Source organism: Homo sapiens, chromosome 3 (genome assembly GCF_000001405.40).
Source record: "Homo sapiens chromosome 3, GRCh38.p14 Primary Assembly".
NCBI lineage: Eukaryota > Metazoa > Chordata > Mammalia > Primates > Hominidae > Homo > Homo sapiens.
Window position 1 is genome coordinate 10,815,509 of NC_000003.12, and position 25,214 is coordinate 10,840,722.

The 25,214-nt window shown below is 46.5% G+C and overlaps 1 protein-coding gene across 4 annotated transcripts in view, besides 1 other annotated feature; it reads left to right on the forward strand.

Moving 5' to 3' along the window:
• The first annotated feature begins 719 nt into the window (after positions 1 to 719).
• The window catches only part of SLC6A11 (solute carrier family 6 member 11), a 124,487-nt gene continuing 99,992 nt past the window's right edge, over positions 720 to 25,214 (forward strand). For 2 of the 4 annotated variants that reach the window (NM_014229.3, XM_011534033.3), the window contains exons 1-4: positions 720 to 1,013; positions 3,957 to 4,091; positions 4,204 to 4,344; positions 7,794 to 7,884. In NM_014229.3, the coding sequence (NP_055044.1) occupies positions 758 to 1,013; positions 3,957 to 4,091; positions 4,204 to 4,344; positions 7,794 to 7,884 (623 nt within the window). In that variant the 5' untranslated portion in view covers positions 720 to 757. Of the gene's footprint in view, positions 1,014 to 3,956; positions 4,092 to 4,203; positions 4,345 to 7,793; positions 18,340 to 25,214 lie in introns of those variants that run through there. The other 2 variants (NM_001317406.3, XM_047448764.1) reach the window with 2 other exon arrangements.
• Positions 19,465 to 19,599: a silencer, noted in NCBI's record as "fragment chr3:10876658-10876792 (GRCh37/hg19 assembly coordinates)". NCBI's record gives its function as "represses an EF-1alpha promoter that drives an FKBP-Casp9 reporter gene in an ReSE screen in HepG2 liver carcinoma cells {active_cell/tissue: HepG2}" and the evidence as "EXISTENCE:reporter gene assay evidence [ECO:0000049][PMID:32094911]".

Here is a 25,214-nt window from a genome sequence, read left to right on the forward strand (position 1 = left end):
CTGAGGCACAGAGGGATCAGATGACTGGCCAAAATCACACAACTTAGATTCACCTGTTTCCAGACGCAAGCACTTAACTGCCACACGGTCCTGACTATGTTGAGAGCTGCGGACACCAGTATGAACAAGACCTGCAGAGTGTCTAGGGCTGGGAAGAAGCCACGAATTCATTTACTGCCTTTTCCTCAAGGTGTGGTCCCTGGACCAGACATATCAGCGTCCCTGGGGAGGTAGTCAGACACGCAGGCTCTTCAGCCTACTGCGACCTACTAGACCGTGATGTGTAGTTTAAACAAGACCCGCAGGTGTCTGGTGTGTAGTTCAAGTTGGAGAAGTCTGGTCTAGAGCCCATTCCTCTTATTAGAAACAGGAAACCGAGGCCCAAGCATTTGAAGGTTATGGACGGTGGTAGAACTTTGGGGTTTGGTGAGTGGAGCCGGCCTAGGCCGGAATGGGCGCTTCCACTCTTGGCCCAGCAGGCCAGTGGGCAGGGCCGCGGGAAGGACGGGCGCTGCAGGGGCTCCGCGCGCTCAAGGTGCTCGCGGGCTCCCGGGCCCAGCCGGGCTGAGGTGGCGTGGGCGCCCTGCGGGCCGGGCCTCCGCGGCGCGTCCCAGTCCCAGTCTCCGCGCTGGTCTGGCCCGGTCCCTCAGCTCCACCCCCTGCCTCCCCCTCCCGCCCGCTCGCGCCTCCTGAAAAGCCAGCTCGCCCGGGGCGGCGGCGCAGAGCCGGGCCGGCGCACGAGGCAGCCAGCGCGGCCATGACGGCGGAGAAGGCGCTGCCCCTGGGCAATGGGAAGGCTGCTGAGGAGGCGCGGGAGTCCGAGGCGCCGGGTGGCGGCTGCAGCAGCGGGGGCGCGGCGCCCGCGCGCCACCCGCGCGTCAAGCGCGACAAGGCGGTCCACGAGCGCGGCCACTGGAACAACAAGGTGGAGTTCGTGCTGAGCGTGGCCGGGGAGATCATTGGGCTGGGCAACGTGTGGCGCTTCCCCTACCTGTGCTACAAGAACGGAGGAGGTGAGGTGATAGTGAGGAGAAGGGGAGGGGGCGCCAACCGCCCGGTGGGGGCGGGGAGCCAGGGGCGAGCGCGAGACCCCCTCCCGCGCCTGCGTGGAGCGGAACCCGAGCGGAGAACCTCGACTCCAGGCACCTCGCGTGTGAGCTCGCCCCGGAGCGCGGCCCACCTGTGCCAGTGCGCACGCGCACGTGCCAATTCGCACCTGAGGGTTCCACCTGCCAGCGCGGGGACTTGCCCGCGTTCTGTCCCCAGCATGAGATGCAGACCGAGGCCAGGGAGCCCTTGCTTTGGGTAGGCGCCCTGGTGTTTCGGGCACTTGGCCCCTTGGAGCCTCAGCTTTCCTAACTGGGAAAACGGCCTGTGGGGAAGGGACTCCTGATGATCAAAGTGGTCTCAGTTTTTGCGCGCTTACTGAAGTGCCGAGCACCTTTGACCATATCATCTCATCTCATCCTCTCAGTCACTTTCGTAGGCAGGGGTCTACCCATTTTGCAGGTGAGGACACTGAGGGTCAGAGAAGTCTCACTCGACCAAAAATAAAGATGAGATTCTGATGTCAAAGGCCCTATTTTAAACTGGGACTGGACTCACAACAGGGAGAACTTTTAGGCGAGGCATTGCTCTATGGTTTCCTGCCTAGTCTTTCGTCTGCTCTTAAGCCCATTTCTAGGGCCAATATTTGGGGCCCCTCTGGTGGAAGAATTGACAACGAACAGTTTATTTTACGGGTCTGAGAGTCACCCACGACAAACAGCAATACTGGTTTAATGTTGATGCTCTGCATAGAGATGTAGAAGGGGAGAGGGAAAGGACAGTGATGAGAGAGTCCTTTCTGGTGACAGCCTCTCAAAGTCAGTTTGGCAAAAGATGCAGCAGCGAATCCGTAACTCTCCCAGCTCAGGGAAGGGGCTCCAGCCTTCAGGACCCCCTCCTGTCATATCGGCAGGACAGCTGGGCGGGTCCATGGCAAGGGATCTTATAAAACCTCCTTCGGTGGCACAATTTCTCGAAGGAAGAGCCTGTATCTGTATATTCTCTCTTCTCTTTGCTGTGCCCCTGCCCCTCCAGCAAATTCCCAAACCCCAGCGAAGGTGGCTCAGAAGTTGGCTGGCAGGGACCGGGCTATGAGTCTGTGCAGAGCAGGACTTCCTGTGCGAGCAGCTGCCGGGAGAGGGAGAAGGGTACTGCTTGGCCCAGGCCCTTTCTTTGGGGACATTCATCCTGAAGGCACAGGCTGCTCCAAGCCTGCTCTGCACTGGTAATGAAGTGGCCGCTGGTGTTGGCGGCTTGGCAAGGGAGAGAGAGGGAGTGGACTTGGAGACCCCCAACGTGCCCTGTGCTCTCGGCTGTGAATCCTGCCTCTCTGCAGATACAGCGTTTGTAAGCTGCGTCCACTTGGAAACCTGTGCACACCTAGGGTAGTCCCCAGGCACAAATTGTTTTAACATCTTTTTTTTCCATACAGGAAATTGTTGTGCCAAAACAAAAAGCATTCATAAAAGCAGAAAACACGGTAAATTGGGTTAATTACAAATTCTGTCACAGATTTTTTTTTTTTTTTTTAAAAAAAAAGGTTGTAGTGAGTAAAGTTTTTTAAATGAGTCATTTTTTTTTTCTGACTAGCCAAGAGTTTTCTTGAGATTCATAGATCTCCTGGTTTGGTAGAGTTTATTGTCCTAAGGGTTAGTAGCTTTGTGAATACACAGGTCAAAAGGCTTTCTGAAAGTGTCATACGTTAGATTCTAGAGGTTTCACAGGTAAATAACAGCATGTTAGGGGACCTGCTGCAGCTGATTTTAATCACTTAGATTTCGATTCAGTAAACAGATCCTCTTATCTCCTTTTCCACACTTTTTGCTTTCTAATGTAGTTGGGATATCTGCTTCTCAACTGTTTACCTTTTTAAAAACATCCTTACTGCCCTCCTTTGAGATCCCAACAATAAAGTATTTCTTTCCCAATATGAAACTTTAAATTAGCTGCTTGCCCAGAAAAGCTAAGACCCTTTCAAACCCTGATAGATATGATCCTGCTATCAGGATTCATCAAAATTGTTGCTATTAATCCTTACGGTTAAGGAGACTTCATTTGGCAAAAAGCACTTTCAGTTAAAGCCGTCATTTGTGAGATCAGATGGTGGCAAATAGCATGTGTTTTCATGCTTCGTTATTAGACAGGAGGGACAGAATGAGGGATTTGGAAAAATCCCCATTCTGGGTGTAATAGTTCATGCTCACCTCAGTTATTTAATTTTTTTCACAGAAAGGCCCAGGAAATGGGTATTGTGTTTCAAGACAGGAACACTAATGCTTAGTGGTGGTCTTTTCCTGGACCAATTCAAAGCCAGCCTTTGCTAGATAGATTCTTGTTGCAAACTCCTTGCAAGTTGACACCACACCTGGGCCTCATGTGTAGGGGTACTTAATTCTTTGAGGCTTAATATTGTTCATTGTATAATTCCCTGAGAATGCTCTTCTTTATGACAAAGATTGTTTGCAAGTCACTTCCAAAGTAAAAGGAAGGGGTGCCCCTCACCTGGTCTGTTGAGGTCACTTTAAAATGAAAAAGGGTGCAACATTCAGGGAGGGAATGAATTTGACCCACGCTGGAGGATGAAATGTAAAAAATTTTTTTTAAATGAGCCAATGAAACAATTTCTTTTACATTATCATCTTAGCTGCATTACAGTTCTATGAGGGAAGCAGTGCAGATATTAAAAACTAAAGCTCCATTTTACAGATGGAGAAGTTGAGACTTGGAGATGTGAGGTAGACTTACAGAAACCTAGCGCTGTTTTCTGACTCTGGTCTTCATAATGGGAACTTGAACTCAAGTTCAAAGAACATCATGTCTGGCCTGTAGTAGATGTTTATTAAAGAGTTCTTGAGCCAAGTATGAATCGGCAGGGACAGTTTTCATTTCATTCCTTTGCATCCTTACAGGGGCATTCCTGATTCCCTACGTGGTGTTTTTTATTTGCTGTGGAATTCCTGTTTTTTTCCTGGAGACAGCTCTGGGGCAGTTCACAAGTGAAGGTGGCATTACGTGTTGGAGGAAAGTTTGCCCTTTATTTGAAGGTATGTGTTGAGTTAATGAGAAAATAAAATTTTGCCCAGGGAATGTCAACTGCAAAGGCAGATTGTTTTGAAAAGATAGACTCAAATTCCTTCCTTTCTTTTGTCCTTTCAGGCATTGGCTATGCAACACAGGTGATTGAGGCCCATCTGAATGTGTACTACATCATCATCCTGGCATGGGCCATTTTTTACCTGAGCAACTGCTTCACTACTGAGCTACCCTGGGCTACCTGTGGGCATGAGTGGAACACAGGTATGGCCCCACGGAGGTCTCTCTGCTGGTCCTGCTGGGTGACCTGGGATTGGGGTTTGTTCATGCCCTTCAGGCCAGTCCTGGTCCCTGGCCTCTCGTCATGAGTCCAGTTTTCTAGGGTAGTCTTGCTGAAACTGGGGTCAGCTCTGCACCTGTTCTGGTACGTTCTGTGAGTTGCAGCCCTAAAGCCTGAGCTGAGCATTGGCCCAGAGACTGGCATGGTTAGGAGAATGGAGATGTTCTGTCCTCTGTTTGTCAAATGCAGAGACTGAGCCCTTTGGGGGCAGGATGGGGGTGTGAGGAAGAGCACTAGACTTAGACTCAGGGGACTAGAGCTCCAATACTAGTCTTGCTTCTAGTGTCAAGTTTTCCCCTGTAAAACTGAGGTTAGACCAGATCAAGGGCTGCAGACAGAGGACCTACAGGCCAACCAGGCTTTAGATCAGTGAATGGCAGACTTAAAAAATAGATTTGGTTGCCAAAATTAAAAAATTGGAAGACTTCACGTGAAAAATTCAGGTTTCCAGCCTATCTTAAAAACTTAAACGATCTGGTGACACCAGACCCACCTTCCTGCTTGACAGCAGTGGCTGTAGCCAAGAGGTGGCTATTGCCTTCAATGACACATCCGTCCTGGAGTTAGCACAAACCCCACCCAGCTCACTTTCTTCATTTACTCTATCAATCCAACCCAGCTGACATTTGAATTTAGCCCCCAACCCCACTCCTGCTGGAATGGATAATCTTTTAGATTATTTTTGATACTGATATATTGTTTGTTTTTCCATATATCCTCCTATTAGCATTGAGTTTTATAATCCAAGAAAGGCATATCCCTGCCCAATCCCTGTCTAAGCTGGCCATGCTCACAGAAGACATCGCTAATCAATTGTAGCACTCTTTCCTTCTCAGTCTAGTCTTGGCCTTAGAACCCTTCTCCAATAGTGCTCCAGAGAGCTGCTGCCTTTTGACTGGAATTGGCGCACACACTTTGACCTATTCACCATCTGTATGATAACCTGTGTTTAGATTGTGTCTGGAAGTGGCCTGCCATCGTGAGGGCTGAGATCCAGTAAGATCGGGTAGGATGTTGGTGACCAGTAGAAGGAACAGCAGGTGGTAGACCTAGGAGATGCTGCAGTCTGGCTTCTAGCCCTATGTGATGCCTGACTCTGCCCTACTCCCCTACTCTGCCAACCCCTGGCTGTTGCATTTTGTGGAGCTTTTGCTGTTTCTCTCTTTAGGGCCCTAGTTTTTAACCTCCCTTTGGCCAGGGAACTCATAGAAATGTTTATCAAACTAAAATTCAAGGACAATTTCTTGGAGGCCTGTGAGTCCTCTAGGGTAATTTAATTGTGGGTACTTATTTTGAGGATACTCTAAAAATATGCACATGCTCTGGATGGTCTGAGCAAACACCTTATAACTGAGGATAGTCAGGAGATTCCAGTGGCTGACTTTATGCATGTTTATAATTTAAGATGCATTCATGGCAAATAGAATGATGATGGCCAAGGGAAAAAGACCAGAAAGGTTTAATTCATAGATAGAGCATTAGTACTAAGTGAAGTCCAGTTGAGAATGCAACACACCATAGGAATGAAGGTTTTGCAGAAGTGTAACCAGAGGAAAATGGGTAATCAAATCTCAAATAGTCCATGGAGGAATAAACCACCTGAACTCAACAGATTCTGCTTCTTACATGTCAGTTTCATTTTTCTGTTGGGAAAGCAATATAATTTTACCAAATAGCATTATCCTATGCATCCATTTTCTGTTATCACTTTAAATTGTGCTGGTTCTGTAGTATAGTTGGTATTTAATTTATAAATTTAATTTGACGTTTATAATTGTATGAATACTGTAATCACAAAGACTTTATAACTTGTTGTTTATTTGTACATGGTTAAATATTTTAATAAAAATAACTGGTCAACTTGGGTGTCCAGTAATTTTTTTTTTTAACTCTAGGAAGAAAAAATAATTGAGAAATCCTATTTTAGGGAATTCGATAAAAGTCAAGGTCTCCTCTCTCCAGAAAAAGGCACAGGACACATTCAGAAATCTTGCTGACAATTTCAGGTTTCCAGGCTCCTCTCAAGCCTGACTGAGGACCCCCAGACCACCTCCTTTCAGAACATAGTTAGCACTTGCCAAGAGGAGCAAGAAGCAGGCAGACAATCTGGATTTTCCCCAGTGGACTGCAAACCTCTTTCTTCAACTGGTTTGCAATCCCCTTTCTCTAAAGGTGTGTGAACACTTGCAATGTGTGAAACATCACACATAGGAGGTGATTCCTGCCTGCAGAGATTACAGATGTGGTTTGGAGCATTCATACATATGTGAGATGGAAGACATGCAAGAGTGAAGCCAGCCGGGCTCCTGCTCCGTGCTGGCCATGGTGCGGGGTGCAGGGGCCTCTGAGGTGAATGGATACAGGAGGCCTTGCCCTTGGGGAGCTCATGGTCTGGTGCCCCAGGTGTCTCTAAACAGAGGGACATGGGTCCCATGGTAGTGGGCTTTTCTGGGCAATACCCGTGGCAAAGTAGATGGAGCCCTGGCTGGAGTTTATTACAGTTCTATCCACGCTGGCCAGTGACTTTATAGAGGAGGAAGAGGGTATAGGTGGGGGTCCCTTGACTGTTTCTGAACCTTAGATTCTTCTTCCTCAAAATAAAGGGAGTTGGAAAAGTTGGTTGCTTGGAGGGCCTTTGAATTCTTGCTTTCTTAGATTTCAGGGGAGGGAGGTTGGGGAAGGCCTCCTGGAGATGGGGTTAAGGCCCAGGGGCACTGGGCCTTGAAGGATGAACACTAGGTTGCTTTTACTTGAGATTAAATCTCCCTGGGACATCAAATTTCGTGAAATGAGAAGAGGCATTCAGTAAGTCCTTTCTGATTGACTGGATCTAGTGAGGGAATGATGAAGAAACCAGGGATTCTTGGCATATGTTGATTCACACCATTTCCTCCAATCATCACGTCTTGATGAGACAGCTGTGGCATTAGCCCCTTTACACATAAAGTAAAACTGAGTCTCAGCTGCATTACTGCCCCAAGGTCACCATGGACGATCTATTCCTTTAGTCCCCCTATTCCACTACAGCCCTTCAGCCAGACAGATAAATGCTACTGGTGGGACTTAGGCAGGGAAGTGGAAAAAATAAAAGAAGATTTGGGAACAAGGGTAGAGGAGACAGTTTGATAGGGAGTGTTGGTTAGGAATGGGAGAGAGAAGGCCCCCTGCCCCATAAACCTTTCCTCCTGTTCTAATCAGTCCAAGCCTCTTAACTGTTTGTAAAGTATTGATTTTCCCCACTGCCCTTTGACGCATGTTTACCTGGAGTGGGTAGATGAAAATGCCTAGTTGCGCATCAGCTCTGAATGTTTTTCAGGATTCAGCTTTCATGGAGATTAATTTTCTTCTATTTCTTGTCTTGTTTCCACTGTAGAGAATTGTGTGGAGTTCCAGAAACTGAATGTGAGCAACTACAGCCATGTGTCTCTGCAGAATGCCACCTCCCCTGTCATGGAGTTTTGGGAGTAAGTGGAGAAGAACTTGTCTCCCTTGGCCTGTGGGGGCTCTGTCCTGGTTCTGCTCAGTTGGTCTTGCCCCTATTCCTGGAAAAAGCCTGATCCTTCTTGCAGCCTGGCACTTCCTGGCTTCTGTGAGCATTCGACAGCTTCGGAAGCAAGAGTGCAGATCTTCAGAGGTTTCCCAAAGGGGCAGCTGAGAGAAATGTTTTCTTGTTCTTTGATAACATGTCAGCATGCATAGTGGGTTATTAGGGCAGGAAGTACTTGGTGAAAGGATAGACAGTTTAAAAATTCATTTTGAGCAAAAGAGGAGATGCAGCCTGTTTGCAATAAGCTAAGTCAAGAGTGTATTTAGCCTGGAAAGCATAAGTCTCTAGAGGGGATAGGTTAGCTTTCTTTCAGTAGCTGAAGTGTCATATGGAAAAGAAGGAGATCAAATTTAATGGATAGAGATTATAAAGAGGCAGGTTTCAAATGTGCGTAGGGAAGAACTTGGTCTCATAGCATAGCATTATCTGGAAGCACTTCAGAAGGTTGTGAGCACCCATCCCTGGAAGTTGACCAGTATAGGGTTGCCAATCATTGTTGGGGGTGTGTCTGAATCCACTGAAATTATAAGTAGTACTTGTGTGGTTGGGCATTTTCCCAGAAATTGGCATAGTTTTATCAGAGTTCCAAAGGATCTGTGACCCTTACAGGGCTGCTATGTGTGGTTGTGTACATTGCACACTGAACAACCCAAGGGGCCATAATTTACATTATGAAATATACATTCCAGAATTGTGTGGTGCACGACCTGTATAACCATACACAGTGGCCCTGACTTGCAAGTTTGTTTTAAAGGTAGAAGGATCCCTTGCCCCAGGTATTGGAAAGAAGTTTCCTGTATGGGTCAAAGGCTGGACTAAATGCTTTCTGAAGCTTTTCAATCTAAAAAGTCCTGGCTTCATTGAAGAAGCCTCCCTTACTCTGATGGTGATTAATAGTAGTATATGTGTGTGTGGTGGGGCAGTGGTTTATGAGTGATTTTTATTTTTTTCCCAGATACCATTCGTCTCCTGCCTTCTCTAGAGGTCATTATGCTGAATTTAGATTTACCACTCTCATATAAATCTTCATACTTTTCATATATATATGCCCCAAATAGCACCTAGGTCTTTCTTGCATATTTTTCAAATTTGTGATACTGGCATCCATTATTTACATTTTTTATAACAACTTTATTTCTTTGCTCAATATTGGTTCTTAGATGTATCCATATTGGTACATGTAGCTTTGGTTCTTTCATTTTTCTATCAGAGTATTTCATTGTATGAATGGCCTGTGTTGTATTTATCCAGGTCCTCTTGGTCCTCTTGATGGGCATTTAGGCTGTTGCCCATTTCTCACTATTATTAAGCACACTGAGTGAATGTCTAGTCTGTGCTTCCTTGAGTGGAATTGCTGGGTTGTAGCATACATGCGTTGTCAGTTTTATCATATAACGTAAAATTACTTTAGAAAGAAATTAATCTAGGCCAGGCATGGTGGCTCACACCTGTAATTCCAGCACTTTGGGAAGCCGAGGTGGGCGGATCACCTGAGGTCAGGAGTTTGAGACCAGCCTGGCCAACATGGTGAAACCCTGTCTTTACTAAAAATACAAAAATTAGCTGGGTAGTGGTTCATGCCTGCAATCTCATCTACTCAGGAGGTTGAAGCAGGAGAATCACTTGAACCTGGAAGGCGAAAGTTGCAGTGAGCCGAGATCGGCGCCACTGCACTCCAGCCTGGGTGACAGAGCGAGACTGTCTCAAAAAAAAAAAAAAAAATTAATTTACACTCCAAACAAGAGTTTGTGAGAATTTCTGCAGCTTCACATTTTGGACAGCACTTGGTCTGTTCAGTTTTTGTTTTGCCAGTGTAATGGGCATTAAATGATAACTTACTATTTTAAATTCACATTTCTCTAATTACTTGTGAGGTTAAGCACCTTTTCATGTTTTGTTTTGTCTGTTTTTTGCTATTTGATTTCTGTACCTGTGAACTTCAGGTTTACATTCGTTTCTATTTGGATAGTTTGTCTTTTCTTACAGATAGAAATTGTTAATACATTCTAGATATTATCTTTTCCCAATGTGTGGCTTTTCTTTCTTATTTATGGTGTACAGAAGTTTCCATTTTATTGAAGTCGAATTCGTCGATTTTTCTTTTGGGTTTGCACAGTTGGTGTCTTATTTAAGATATATTTCCCTACCCCAAAGTTGAAAAAATTTTCCATATTTTCTTCTAAGAGTTTTACAGTTTTTTTTCATATTTAGGAATATAATCCATCTGGAATTTTATGTTTTTAATGTTGTATTAGGTAGAAATCCAGGTTTTAATATATAAATAACCTATTTTCCCAGTAGGACTTACTGATCATTCATTCTTTTCTGATTTATAATGCCATCTTCTGTACATAATTTCCTTTAAGCACAAGTCTGTGTTTGGGCTCTCTGTTCTGTTCCACTGGTCTCTTTGTCTATCTCTGTGCCCATACCACACCTATAGTTTTACTGTAAGCCTTGAGCCTGTAAGGCAAGTCTCCCACTTTGTTCTTTTCCAAAATTGTTTTAGTCTTCTAAATGAATTTCAGAATCAGTTTGTTGAATTAAACAAGAATAGCAATAAAAAAACAAAATAACTGTGTGGGAATTTTGATTAAAAGTCTATTGAACTCATAGGTTAGTTTGAGAGAATTTGACATCTTTATGATTGAACCTGTCTATGGACATGGTATAGCTAGTTCTCCATTTGTTTATGTCTTTTAAATTGCCTTATAGAGTAGTGCTACTTAAATGTGGTCTACAGAGTAGCAGCATTTTAATCACCTGGTTACCTACCCCAGGCCTACTGAATCATAGTCTCAAACAGAGCATCTGTTAGATATGTGCTTGAAAGGAGACTTCTGGGCTGGGTGGGCCTGTGTGGTCTTTCCCAGTCCCATTGGGTTGAGGTTTCCTGGAAGAATGTCAGAGACTTGTATTGGACCTGCACATTTGGGGGTCTGCAGAACAGTTTCTTTCACCTTTAGAGAATTCACTCTGAAACTCCAGACTGGACAAGGTCTCTGTGTTAGTTACTGTTGTTTTTGCACCACTCATTTCCTTTGTAACATATATGGAAAACCTTAATTAAATCATTATTTGTATAATGTATTTGTTCATTGTCTGTATTCCCCAATAGACAGTCATGAAGCAGAACCTTGTCTGGTTTTACTTATCATTGCCAGGCTATGGAAGGCCCTCAGTTAATATTTATAAACTAGATGGATGGATGAAGAAGGCAGACAGGCAGGCAATATGTCCTAGAAAATATTATATGAGAAGAGTCAAAGTGGGCTCTGGCAAGAACACCTGCTGTCATTAAGCCTCTCACCCAACAGCATTGATTAATTCCAGGATCCCTTTGCAATATCCATATTATCCATTCATTTGAACACCAAGGGCAGGCAAGGGCAGTTTGTGTGCATCCTCATCGGTATAGACCATCCTGCCAGCTACTTGGTTACTCAAGATGAAAGTTCATGGGCAAATGAACCCATGGTTCTAGTTTTCTATTCAGATTGCATCTCTGTCTGTATCATCCATGTGGTGTTGAATCCTGTATCCTAAAAGTACTCAAATACTAGTGGGACACGCACCCCTTCATACAGTTATACTTTTGTCAGACACCTCTAATTCCTCTTTGCCCCTGAGCTGAGATTAGAATATAGAGATTGTGTGAGATGTTCATATCATCCTATGAAAAGCTTTTGAGCCACATAAGTTTGAGAATGGATGAAAGCTATGTCCTTCAGTGAGAATATCCATTTACCTTTGCTGAACCCAAATTTCCAAACTTATTTTCCTATGGAATAAATTAGAATCCCTTCCCTCTCTCTGCCCCTGCCCCAGTGTACTCCACCCCCTGAATGCTAGCATTCCACTAAATGCAGTCTGGGAAACATTTTGCTAGGAATAAGTTCTTCCTTAAATTCAGCCAAAAGTTGATTTCTGGGGCTTTGACAGAGCATACCTAATTCCATTTCTGTGTGACAGTACTCTTCAAGTATTGGATCAAGCTTCCTCAAAAACATTCCTTCACCTCTCTTTGTTGTTTCCTTGTGTGGCTGGTTTGGTGGGCTCCAGTTGTCCTTTTCACACTGCCTCCAACTCCAGGGACTTCAGTCAGGGCCACATTGCTCAGTCAAAGTAGACTGCCTAGGCTGTCTGCTATTATAGTTCAATCATTTGACAAACATCTGAGCTCCTGGTACACATAAGAAAAGCACGGTGTCTTATTTAGGGGAAGTAAAGATGGAAGATGAGGTTCTAGTCTCTAGAAGCAGAGTTGAGACAAGCCCACAGATTACCTTAAAATCATCCACAAGGCACTACTTCTCTGCCTGCATCTGGCCATGGCTTTGCCTTGACCATGGGCACCTGGCCTGCCCACTCCCCATCTTGAAGTGTCAATTCCCTTTTCAGATGTAATTAAAATTGCTGGCTTAGCCCACGAGAGAAGTTCAGGCCCTACATCAGTCCTGGATTCTGACTCTTATGGGGGTCCTACAGGGCCAGGGATGCTTGTCTTCCTAATGTCAGACTTCAAAATTAGGCCATCCTCGTTTCCCTTAGTAACCCATTATGCATCTGGCATCCGTGCATTTATCTAAATGTGTCTGCAGTTCTAAATTTTGAGCCTGTACCCTCTGGTGGGATTGAATGCTATTAAGTGCATAACCAATATTGTGGCATCAGATGGACATTGATTCATCTTCACTTCCCTTTCTCAAGCCCACAAATCCCATTAGTCCAGGGTTTGGGGAGCAACTCCATTCTTGCTGTGTATACAATCAAAACTGTTTTTGCACGGTGTCCATTCAAAAAACACATGTTGAGCACATATTGTGTGCCGGGCCCAAATTAAGCTCTAAGGGTATTCAGTTCTATTTATTCAGAAGGATGAGGCCTTGTTTTTCTGGTTTATCTTCACTGGAGGAGTTTTGTTTTTAGTGTTTATTTTTGAGTCACGTGAATGTTTTAATTGATTTTCTTTGGACATGAGATTTGGGATCAGAGGAACTAGAGTGAAGGTTGGTTCTTTCTGTGGGACTGGGGTGACTCCCTGCCTCTCTCCCAGGCCTATCTTCCCCTCTGCACATTACCCTCCTCCACACTGGCCTTCTTTCTGTTCTTTAGATGTACGGGCCTTGTCCCAGGGTCAGTCTCTTGGCTTTTGCTTTTCCTTTTGCTAGAAGATTTCTCACCAGATCCTGTGTGTCTGGCTCCTTCTTATCATTGAGTCTTAATTCAAATGTCAGTGTCATATGGGGAGCCCTCCTTGACCATGCCCATGGAATCCACACCCCAGTCCCTCTCAACCCCATCACTCTTTCTTAATGCCCCATCACTCTTTCTTAATAGTTCTTATCTGAAATCCTTGTATATTTATTTGATTATTCTCTCTTTCTCCATCAGAATTTAAGTTCCATGCTGGCAAGGACGATGTCTGTTTTGTTCATTATTGTCTTGCCAGCACATTCTAGGTGCTCAATAAATATTTGTTGAAATGAGTGAATGGAAGACTGAATGAATGAATGAATATTTCTTACCCCCTTGGAGCTCAGTGTCCACATCTGTAAATTGGAAATGATAACACCCACCTGAACACCCACCTGCAAGGCTGAGAAGAGAATTGAATAAGACTTCTCCTGTAGGAAGCCCAGCCCATCTTAAGCTCTTTGGAAAGGTTTTAATGTGTAAGAAGATTTTTTGCAATTGGTTCTCCCATATGTGAAATGGGGTTAACCCTGTTCCTTGCCTTACCAACCTCTCCAGGCTGCTGTGAGGATTAAATGAAATAACACATTCTGAGAACTTTGATGGGTCATAAGTGGGGTGCCTGTGTTAGTTCTGGCTACTGGAGGCACAGGGTCCCTTCCAGCCTCATCTCTACAGGTACAGAGTCATGGTTGGGCCCAAGCTGCCAAGGCCTGTGCACAGTTGCTCTGTTTGCCTACAGTAGCCTTCATGCCTCCTGATTCAGCATCAGAAGTGCCCTTGGGACCCTTTCCTAGGTCAGCACTGCATGCTGTGTAGCAACATCCAGTTCTGCTAGTTTGGATTACCTGGCCCCACCATACCCCCAACACATTACCCCGTGGCTAAAGTGTAGATGTTAGCGGCAAGTTCTAGAGCCCAGTTTAAGCAGCTGCCCCTTCCTCCTGTCAAGTGTGTGACCCTGGGCAACCTGAAGAGCCTCTGCCTGCTCCTCTGAATATGGGATGATGTATGGTAAACGTACCCACCCCTTAGGCTTGTCAAGAGCATGGAATGAGATGATGCTTACAAAGCTCCTAGCATGTGGTGAGTGCTAATAAATAGTAGCTGTTTTTACACAGGAGACTTTATCCAGATCTCTGCAAGTCTATGTGGATTCTTTTTAAGATTCTTTAGAGAAGGCTCATCAAGCAAGGCCTTGTTTCCCACTCACAGTAGGCATGGTGAGCTTTCTTAGTGCATTTTTTTCTTCACTTAATTGTTCTTTTGACATTTTTCTTAGTAAATACTGGGTGCTGGGCATCTTATAAGTAGCCAGAAAGATGAGTGGTGGGACACTGGCTCTCCATGAAGAAGCACACAGCCCAGCAGGGGAAGCTGGGAAGTAGGAAAAAAAAAACAAAAAGAGTTTTTGAATTACGAGGTAACAGATATATCTGTAGGATGCTTGCAGAGTGAGGCTGGGGAACCCTGGATACCTGGACTTTGGGGAAGGCTACATGGAGTTGGTGATACTTTAGCTGGGTTTTGAAGGATAAATAGAAGTTCATGCGGTTGGCCATGGAGTGAGTAAATGACATACCAGGTGGAGAGAATAAAAAAAGCAAGAGCACAGAGACCTGAAGTTGTGTGTTGCAGCTTATAGATTTTACCCACAATGCTACTGCATTTAGATCCTAGGGGCTAAGGGGAGACTTTACTGAAGAGCAGGCAGGGGCCAGAGCATCTATGCACTCACAGGTCTTTATTGAGCACCTACTATATGGCAGGTCTCATTGTAGGTTCTGGAATGCAACATGAACAAAACAAAGACTCACCCTTATGGAGCTGAGAGCACCAACAACCAAATAAGCAGAAAATATTGGATTAAGTTGAGATCAGTTTCCTGAAGAAAAAGTCAGCAGGTTTAGGGGGCAGAAAGTGTTCAAGGGTCAGGGAGGGCCTCTCTGAGGAGGTGGCATGTCAGCAAGGGAACTGAGAGAAGTGAGGGAGCAAGCCATGTGGAGGTCCCAGGAGCTACAGGGCCGAGGGAGCAGCAGGGGTGGTGACCCCATAGTGGGAGGCTGTTTGGGGAATGGCAAGGCAGTCAAAGAGCCTGGAGAAGAGCATGAAGGGCCTCTGTACCTTTCTAAAGGGTTTGCAGTGATTCTGTGGGATGCCTGCAAATGTTCTATTCCTAGAGTTGTGTGATCAGGCCTGGGGATAAGGCAGCCTCCCCAGGCTGCAGGTGGAGGCCCTGGATGTGGTCCAGGTGCAGTAACCTAAGGCTCCTTCCTCCGGAGGTGGAAGCTGGGTGGTGGTGCCCTGCACTGTTGGGAAAGACAGGGTGGAAGCACTCTTGCCATGCTTGGCCATAGAATACACTGAAGGGAATAAGAGAATGGTCTCTCTGATGTATTAATTCCTCCACAGCCTCCCACTTGCTGTGAGGTCTTCTAATCTCACATGTCCTCAGTGAACTTGTTCTGATGCAGGCAGATGAGCAGCTCTTAATCTGCCTGAACTCTCAAGTCCCCATTTTTTTTTCTAAACAACAGCAACAGAAGCCAATTTAGCAATAACCCGCGGCACTGGGGCTGCACATAAGTTTTGTCCCCAAATCCTACTTCTGAAAGTTTATTTTGCGATATGACCTCACTAGTTACACAGAACCTGAACATGTCCTCAGCAGCACTGCATGTGATAGTTAGAAAGGACATGTAAAATATTCTTAAATATGATATGTATTAGATAAATTATACAACTGCTAAAAAAGAATGAGGCAGAAAATGTGTTGACACAGAAAAGCTAACAGTAAGTGAAAAAGGTGAGCTGTAGCATGTTGTATATGATATCGTATGTAATATATGTGTTGTATATGCCTTTATAACCATAAACCATGTCTGGCAGAATACACAGAAACTATTAACAGATTACCCAGGAGTGGGACTCGGGGGTAAGTGAGGTTATAGAGAGAGAGGCTTACTTTTTGCTTTGTACTTTTTTGTATTATTTAAATTAGAAACAATTAAAACTAGGAACATGATTATTTCATAATTTAAAAAATAGGAGCCACGGGGTTAGTGAATAAGCTGTTACGTGTCATAATGAACCCTCCTGTTTGTGTAACGAATCCCATTTACAGTAGTCTGTAGGCAGACATTGTGAAGAAACTAGTAGTTCTTTCTTTCTCCTATATGCACCTATAGGCCGGCAGAAATATCTAGCCCTGAAAAGTGAAATGAAGCATGCTTTCTGAATGGTTCATCATTTACTGTTTCCTTCCAGTGAATGGAAGATTTTAACACAAAGGAGAGTTTGCAGGCAGATGTTGAGAAGAAGCTAGTAGAAGCTTCCACCTTGTTAATCTTTATGTATTTATTTAGTTATCAAGTCATTTGTCTTGATATTAGTTCATTTAATTATTTAAATGAATTAATGCCTGTAATGTAGGCAGAAGAAAAAAATTCAATTTTACCATTAACTAAACATAATTTTGGAAACGCTGAGGGATTTCCCAGAACCCAAAGCCAGCCTCTTGGCTCCTAGTGGCCCCGAGCAGCCCTGGTGCCCTGCAAACCCACCCACCAGCTGCCCCACAGAGGATCTCTTCTCTCAAGGAGAGGGCCATTGTTACTCCTCCCCACCAGGGAGGCACTGGGGATCCTTGATTAGGGTTTGGGGGAGCAGGAGGAGGTCCCATTGAGGACACACACCAGACTTGTGCTGAGTAGGGGCTTGGGCCACATGCAGCACTCTCATGAGATTTGCCAATTCACCAAAGCAAACCCAGATCAACACTTTGTTGCTCTAATAGGGTGTTGTGACCTTCTTCTTCTAATTGTTGAATATTTAACTGATGTTAAAAATGGTGATTATTGTTGTAAGCAATGAAAACACAATAGGCATATAAATGGGATATGTTTGTATGTCAGATTAAATATAACCTATAAATATGTCTCCCCAGCCCTGCTCTCTAAGAGAGAACTCTGTTCACAATTGAGTCTCCTCCTGCTAGTATTTCCCCGTACTCTTAGTACCACTCCTATTACTCTCCTTTTTGTCCTGTCTGTCAAAGCATACAAGTTCCCAGGTTCAGAAATTTAATTCTCCTCTTCCGTCAGTTCCCTTTCATAGAAGCAGGTTTTCCAGTGAACACTCGATTTCTTTAGTGCAAAAGTGATCTGTGTCCTTTTTTGTAGAAAATGTAGGAAGTAGGTTTAAGTAAAAGAAGAAAATACAGCACACAACAGGATTTGGGTTTCCAAGCTGCTGAAGTAGGAAGGGGCATGCCAAAGTCTGCAGTTCCACTCCCTTGTCCCCAGCCAGACCCACCCTGGTGGCCATCCCTGAAGCAAGAGCCAGGACCCCCATCTGCCAGGCACCAAGAAGCACTTCTCCATTGCCAATTAATTTTTTTTTCTTTTTGAGACAGAGTTTCGCTCTTGTCGCCCAGGCTGGAGTGCAATGGTACAATCTCAGCTCACTGCAGCCTCCACCTCCTGGGTTCAACCAATTCTCCCACCTCAACCTCCCAAGTAGCTAGGATTACAGGTGCTCGCCACCACACCCAGCTAATTTTTGTATTTTTAGTAGAGATGGGGTTTCACCATGTTGGCCAGGCTGGTCTCAAACTCCTGACGTCAGGTAATCCACCCACCTTGGCCTCCCAAAGTGCTGGGATTACAGGCATGAGCCACCATGCCTGGCCCACTGCCAATTAAGTGTAAGGGGTGGAGGCCCGAGGGAGAACCCAAGGTCTATTTGCCCTAAGCCATCAATGCCAGGGATGGCTCCTTGCCCAGAACACCTTCCCAGATGGACCAGTTAATGCTTCTGGTGATGATGCCATCCGAATGCTATACTGAAAGCCCTTCAGCCGAGGATCAAGGTTCTGCTTGTATGCACGGTTGTTGAAATGCTATTTAAAAGTGCCGTGCCGTGGTGTGGTGTGGGGACCTAGAGACCTGGGCTTTGGGGCCAACAGTAAGAATTTGAATCCTGCTGCTTCCACTTGTTAGTCTTGGGCTTGTTGCTTAAATCTCTCTGCAATTCACTGTCCTTGTCTGCAAAATGGGAATAATTGTTGTTACAGCACTACTAGTAGTAACTGGGCTTAATAAATACTGAATAGCTGTGGTCTCCTGTTATTATGAGTTCTTGATCATTACAGTAAACATATTTGTGTATAAAATTAGCCAGACGGGTATTTGTATTTTTCACATTGGATGTCTTACAGTATAGAACAGGAAGCAGCAACTTACTGAACTGCAAGAGTTTTGTCTGAGGTTCTTTCTACATCCTGATGGGTGCAGTAGAGAAAAGGAAGTCACATTTGGTTACTAAGCACCTACTGTATACCCTGGCCCTGCACAGGGCCCTCTAAGCACATGACCTCATTTAACCCATCCACCCAGGGGATAGATGATGTGGTATCAGTATATGAGTTCTCATCTCACACGGGGGATTCTGAGGGCATGAGAGATTAAGGGACCTGACCAAAGTGCCTCTCATGGTGGGCCAGAGCCTGAGCTGGTCTGAAACCCAGCCATCTGCATCTCTCTGCCGTTCCAGGCTTCTTCCTGTGTGTGAAATGTGGTCAGCTGCCTGCTTTATCCCAGGTGCAGAGTCGGACTGCTGTGTGCTGCCTCTCTGCAGCCCTGTGGACTCAGGCTCTGGAAGTAAGTTTGTTTTTTTTTTTGTTTTTTTTTTCAGCAGATGGGGAATATATTTCATAGGAAAAGGGAGGAAGGGATGAAGGAAGAAACTCATGAGAAATGGCTTCACAGAAGCCTTCAGCATCCAGCAACAACAATGTAAGCCCTGTGGGTTGGGTCCTTCCTGGGTTTCAGAAGGTTTCTTTAGGAAGTGGCTTTAGAGTCAGGACCCGTCAGGAGCAGAATAACTCGACCAGGTTGTTTTTAATAAAACAATGAGGAAGTATATAAAACTCTCCAGGGTCGCACATGCACACCCAAACACACACATCCCTTGCTTGTGCTTTGCGCTCTTCTCACTAAGGGGCAGATGGAAGACATGCAGGATGGGGGAGAAGCGCCAGAGCTGGGGCAACCTGACCTTTTCACTTAGGAATTGGGACCCTGAGCAGGTAATGCCGAAGCTCGAGTTTCCTCCTCTGTAGAATGGGTGTAAATAGACAGCACTTAAAGGTGCAGTTGGCATGAAGTGAGCTGTGGACAGTGTGACATTGCTGGTCAGCAGTAGCTCCTCACAATCCATTCCCCTTCCACAGACCTCCCAACCTCACTTCCATTTTAGAGCTGAGGTGGATGAAATGACATTCCAAAAACAGGTGACCACCTGCAGTCTCCCAGTGGGATGCACCCAGGCTGGGACCAGACCCCGACTCCCCACTCCAAACTCCTTGTGCAGGGCTGCTCCTGATGCTCTCGCGCCTATCCTGGCCACCACCCATCCGCGACACACAGTGGCTTCTTGCAATCCTTAATGCAGACCACCTCGGAGGGGCCAGGGCACAGGTGGGCCAGCTTTGCCTGAGCTTTCGGCTGCTCCTTGATGCAGATTTGCTTCCCCTCGGGCACATGTGGGAAACCTGTAGGGCAGCCGTGACCTGGGCAGCATTTTTAAGCTGCTTGAGTCCTGGGAGGAGGAGTAATGGGCAGGAATCTGAGGGCCTGGACCCCAGCCATGGGGTGGGGGAGGCCCTTCCCACCACGTGGGATCCACGTTCTGCGAGAGAGAATGGCTGCGTTATGAACCCGTGATGGATTCTTCACAGCTGCGGCAGTTCCTCCGTCTCTCACCTTCCCCTTATGCACTTTGCCTCCTGACCTGCAGGACCTCTGTTCACTTCTCCCGGTGAGGCCTAAGTTTTGAGGCATTTCCCTGAGTGCCTGCTCCTCTGGAAAGTCCCCACTTTTAGATTCACTCTCCTCCCCACACTCCCTCCTGCTGCCCTCAGTCTCACCCTCCAGCCACAGAGGGGCAGCGCAGGCATTAAACTTGGGATCAAGAGACAGGTTCAAGACCAGGCTTTGCCACCTACCGGTTTTGTGATCTCGGACAAGGTAGCTATTTCTGTGGAGCCTGAGTTTCCTCTGAACAATGGTGTACAAGATAACTACACAAAAGCGCCTGACACGTCTTCCCAAGTGTGTGTTCTGCAGGATGTTAGGAAGTATTGCCTTGGAAAAGCAGAAACAGGGTTGGGAGGGGGGAGCCCTTCCTTCTTAACTTTTTAGAAAGTTTATTGTAGTTTACATGCCATAAAATGCACTCCTTTTAAGTGTACAGCTTTGAGTAAATTTACCAAGTGTGAAGCCATCACCACAATATAAGTTTAGAACATTTATATCCTCTAAATAAGAGCTCTCTGCCCATTCACCATTAATCTCCATTCCCACCTCCAAGCAACACTCAGCTATTTTTTTTATCTCTGTGAATTTGCCTTGTTTAGACATTGCATATAAATGGAACCATACAACTTATGGTCTTTCGTGATTGGCTTCTTTCATGTAGCATAACACTTTTAAGCTTTATCTATGTTGTAGCATGAATCAGTACTTCATTGCTTTTGTAGCTGTATAAAATACTGTTGCATGGGTAGACCATATTTTGTGAATCCGTTCATCAGTTGATGGACATTTGGGTTGTTTCTACCTTGGGCTATTACGAATAATGCTGCTATGAACATTTGTGCACACATTTTTGTTTGAACATATGTTTATTCTCTTGGGCTTATATTCAGGAGAGAAATTGCTGGGTTTTGTGTTTAACTTTTTAAGAAAGTGCCAAATTGCTTTCCAAAGTGGCTGAACTATTTTGCATTCCCACCAGTAATATACGAGGGTTCCATTTCTCCACATCTTCACCAACATTTGTTATTGTCTGACTTTTTGATTATAGCTATCCTAGTAGGTGTGAAGTGGTATTTCTTGTGGTTTTAATTTCCATTTCAATGCGGAACACTTCTCAATAAATTTGAGAAACATTCAGTTAGATAAAGCTGTACAAATGTATTTGTTTCAGGACTTCTCAGACCCTTTCGTATTCTACTAAGCATTGAACATCTCTAAGGAAGTCTAGGGTTCAGTATTTTCTCAAATGAGAGCCCAGTGTGACCTGGGAACTCAGGACATTGGAGGATTAGTGTTCTTTGGGAAGCATTAGCCTAGGACAAGGGTCAGCAAACTACTGGCCAAATCCCAGCTGCTGCCTGTTTTTGTAAATAAAGTTTTATTGGAAGAAAGCCACACCCATTCATTTACAAATGACCTGTGGTTGCTTTCACCCTGCAGGAATAGAGAATAGTTGGGACAGAGACAGTATGCCTTGCGAGACTGAAGGAATTTACTCCCTTGCCCTTTACAGAAAAAGCTTGCTGAGCTCTGGCCTGGGAGTCCCTGGTACACAGTGAGGTGCTCACTTGCTTAGCCTGGGTGGCAGGAGGGGCTGGCCCTGGGGTTGGGGTGGGGACCAAGGAAGCACTTGTGAGGCTTAGTGTTATTTGAGCTGGTGCTTGAAGGATGGTTAGAATATAGATAACTGGGGAGAATTGGGAAGGATGTTCCCAGCCGAGGGAATCACAGGAGTGAATTCTGCAATGTGAGGAAGTGCAGGATGTTTGGGGACTGATGGAGACTGGTGTGTGGCCAAAGAGTAGGATTTTGCAGGGACAGAGGGAATTGGAGAGGTAGCTCCAGACCCCTTAGGCCTATGTCGGTCCCTGATTGCACTCCCTGGCTCCCCAGGGTACTGGCTCCACTGACACTCATAATCACACAATTCCCCATCTTTCCCAAGACAGGGCAGTGGTTCTGAGCTCTGCCTCTGACATTGAACAGATATGGCTTCAAGATCTGTCCCCACTTTCTGGGCATGTCACCTGCCTGAGCCACAGTTTCCTTATCTGTAGAGTGGAAATAATAGCTGTCCTCACCTGAGAAGATGCAGAGAAGGTCAGATCAGATTTTACATGTGGCGTGGTGAGCAGGTGAGAAATGCAAGCTGTAACGGTCCTTGTTGACACCCTTATACCCCTAGACCGTAAGTTCCCTGAGGGTGGAACAGCCTGCTTATTCATCACTGTAGCGTGGACTGAATGAGTGTGTGATGTAGAGGCCTGAAATTCCTGCAGAGGAGGCCTGGCTGAGTCCCTGGCTTGGTTTAGGGGCCCCTGCCGTGGACTCTGTCGGAGTCCCCCCATAAATGTGGAGAGTGCAGGGGACTGTACTTCTTTCTTCCTGGAGAAGTGAGAGCAGACTCCCCAAGGCAGCGGCCAGCTCCCTTGGCGGGGGCCAGGAAAGCACATTTGTTTTGGTGATGGGCCTTTTTTGGTTTGTGTGCTTGTTGCTTTGGGAGACCAGCAGGGCTATTTATAGCTCAGCCCCTCAGCGCCAGCTTTTAGGGCGGTCTCCAGGGCCCTGGCAGCACTTTCCTCAGTGGCAGGTTAAAGAAAGGTGATCTGTTTGCCGGCTCCGTGCACGACATGAAGATGAGGCCACCCCAGGCTGGGCTGGGACCTATTCCCACATGGCCCTCCTGGGTGCCAGGCTGGAGGGAGTTCTGCTCCAGCTCTGCTCTCTGGGCAAACCAGCCCTTGTGCTGGGAGCCGGAAGCTTCAGGTGGGAGACTGTTTCCTTCTCTCCAGACTCAGCAGCTGTGTGTGAGCTGCCCAGAGGGAACATGTGTGGGATTCCAGCCACTGTCCTTCGACCATCAGGCACAGGAGAAGGCCTGAGTGAGAGACACCCTCCCAACCTTGGGCTCACTTTCTGGTGTAGCAGTGGGGAGTGTCAGCATCAGAAGAACTTGGTTTCAACTCTCAATCTGGGGGCAGGGCATGGTTGGCTCACACTTGTAATCTCAGCACTTTGGGAAGCCAGGATAGGAGGATCACTTGAGGTCAGGAGTTCAAGACCAGCCTGGCCAATATGGTGAAACCCTGTCTTTATTAAAAATACAAAAATTAGCCAGGCTTGGTGGCAGGCACCTGTAGTCCTAGCTACTCAGGAGGCTGAGGCAGGAGAATCACTTGAACCCAGGAGGTGGAGGTTGCAGCGAGCTGAGATTGTACCACTGCACCCCAGCCTGGGCTATAGAGTGAGACTCTGTCTCAAAATATGTATATATATCAATTTGGGCAAGTTGCTTCACCTCCCTGAGCTTCCTCATCCATGAAATGGGTATAATCATGCCCTGGCAGTGGTGTTGCCATGAGGACTGAATGAAGCGAGATGGGGGAGGGTGTCAGGTGGTGCCGAGCACAGTTCTCATCACTGCCATCTCCTCCCAGTTCCGCTCCTTCCTCCAAGTCTCTTAATAAGGAAGGATGTAGTTTCCTTTTGAGCTACCCTCTTGGTTCCCCCACTCCTTCCCTCCTGTCAAGTAGAAAGGACATCTCCATGCCTGGATGGCCTAACACCTCCACCTGTGGATTCTGTCCCTGCCACCATCGTAAGGGCCTTCACTTCTTTTCCTCCTCTCTTATCCCCCATTCCCTCCTGTTTCTGAAATTTCTCCCTCTTTCCATCTCTTTCGGGTGAACTAGCCCAGTTACACCAACCTGAAAACAAAACAAATGTGGATCAAACAACCCTTGTACCCTGTGGCCCCTTTAGTTGCCACCACCTCTCCATAACTCATCAGAGCCAAACTTCCTGAAGGAGCCACGTGACTCATGGTCTCACCTCTCATCTGCCCCTGACCCAGTCTACTCTAAGACCAAACAGTGGCTCCTGACCTCCCCACTCCTGGTCCCAAGTCCTGCAGGCATTGCCCTGTCTCACTAGGCTGGCCTGCAGCGTTTGCAGGTCGGCTACTTGCCTGCTGGAGATGCCCCTCCCTCTGCCTTGAGGATACCCCTCCTTGGGTTGCTCCCCTGACTTTCTGCCCACTCCTTCCCTGCTTCTCCAAGGGCTACTCCCTTCCTTTTGCTGCCTTGAGATGTTGGGGTTGTGGGGGCTTGGTCGCAGGCCCCATCTTTCCCCCTTCTTCAGGTCTCCCAGGATACCCCAAAGGCTGAGGGCTCAAGTATGAATCCTCTGTCTGCACGTCTTTTCTGGGTGGCATTCGGAGACCCAGTAGCCTCTGGGCATTGCAGCAACCTGAGTGTCTTGCCAACACCTCCAAATCATCTTATCTGAAAGAATGATTGGCCATGATCTCTTCCTCTATTCCAAGCACCACTTCACTCTTGCTCAGCGAAAGACCCACCCTACCCATCCAAGGATCCATGCCGTGAGCCTGGTGTCAGCCTAGCCCTGGCTCTTCCTGCTGCTGGCTGCCCCAGGCAGTCCTCTTGTGCCTCTGCTGCTCTCCAGTCACCCATTCCTCTCCAGGACTATTGCCTTCCCTATTGCTTGCTCAAATGGAGGCAGACTCCTCTGCCCCACCCTGACCGTTCATTCCTCCCATGGCAGCTAGAGTGTTCTAAAACACACATCTGATGGGGACTCACCACTGTTGACCACTTCCCTAGGCTTCTGTCATCCACAGAAAGCAGCCACGGCCCCTCAGCAAGGCTCACAGTCTAGCCCCTGCTCCCCATGTGGCCGCCTCCTCACCCTACTTCTCACCCAGCCCTAGCTGCACTCACCTAGCCCACCATGCCCTTCTTTGGCCTCGTGGTGTTCTCCCCAGCCTCCTGGCTTTTGCCCTTGGGGGCCTTTCTCCTGCATATGCCCCCCACTTCTTTGCTAACTTTCCTTCTACCCTTCAGGACCCCCAACCCCACACTCTGATACTGATCTGCACAAGGGTCTCCTGCTATGCCTGGGAGCTTCCCCCACCTTTCTCTGTGCCCACCCTCTCCACATGCTGCTATTTCCTTATCTGTCTTCTCCACTAGACCACGGGCTCTTTAAAGACCCCCAGGCTTAGCTCTGTGTCTGGCACACTGATGACGCTTTCGTAAGTATTGTTTAAATAAATTACTAAATGCGTGAATGCCATGTTCCGTACAATCCTCTCTCCTAGTACACAAAGACATGTAAGGCAGCTTTGGGGTATGCATTTACCGTAGCTTTAATTTGTTAAGAAGGGAAAGTGGCAGGTGACGTTAGGGTTATGGAGGAATCAAGGCTGAAAGTG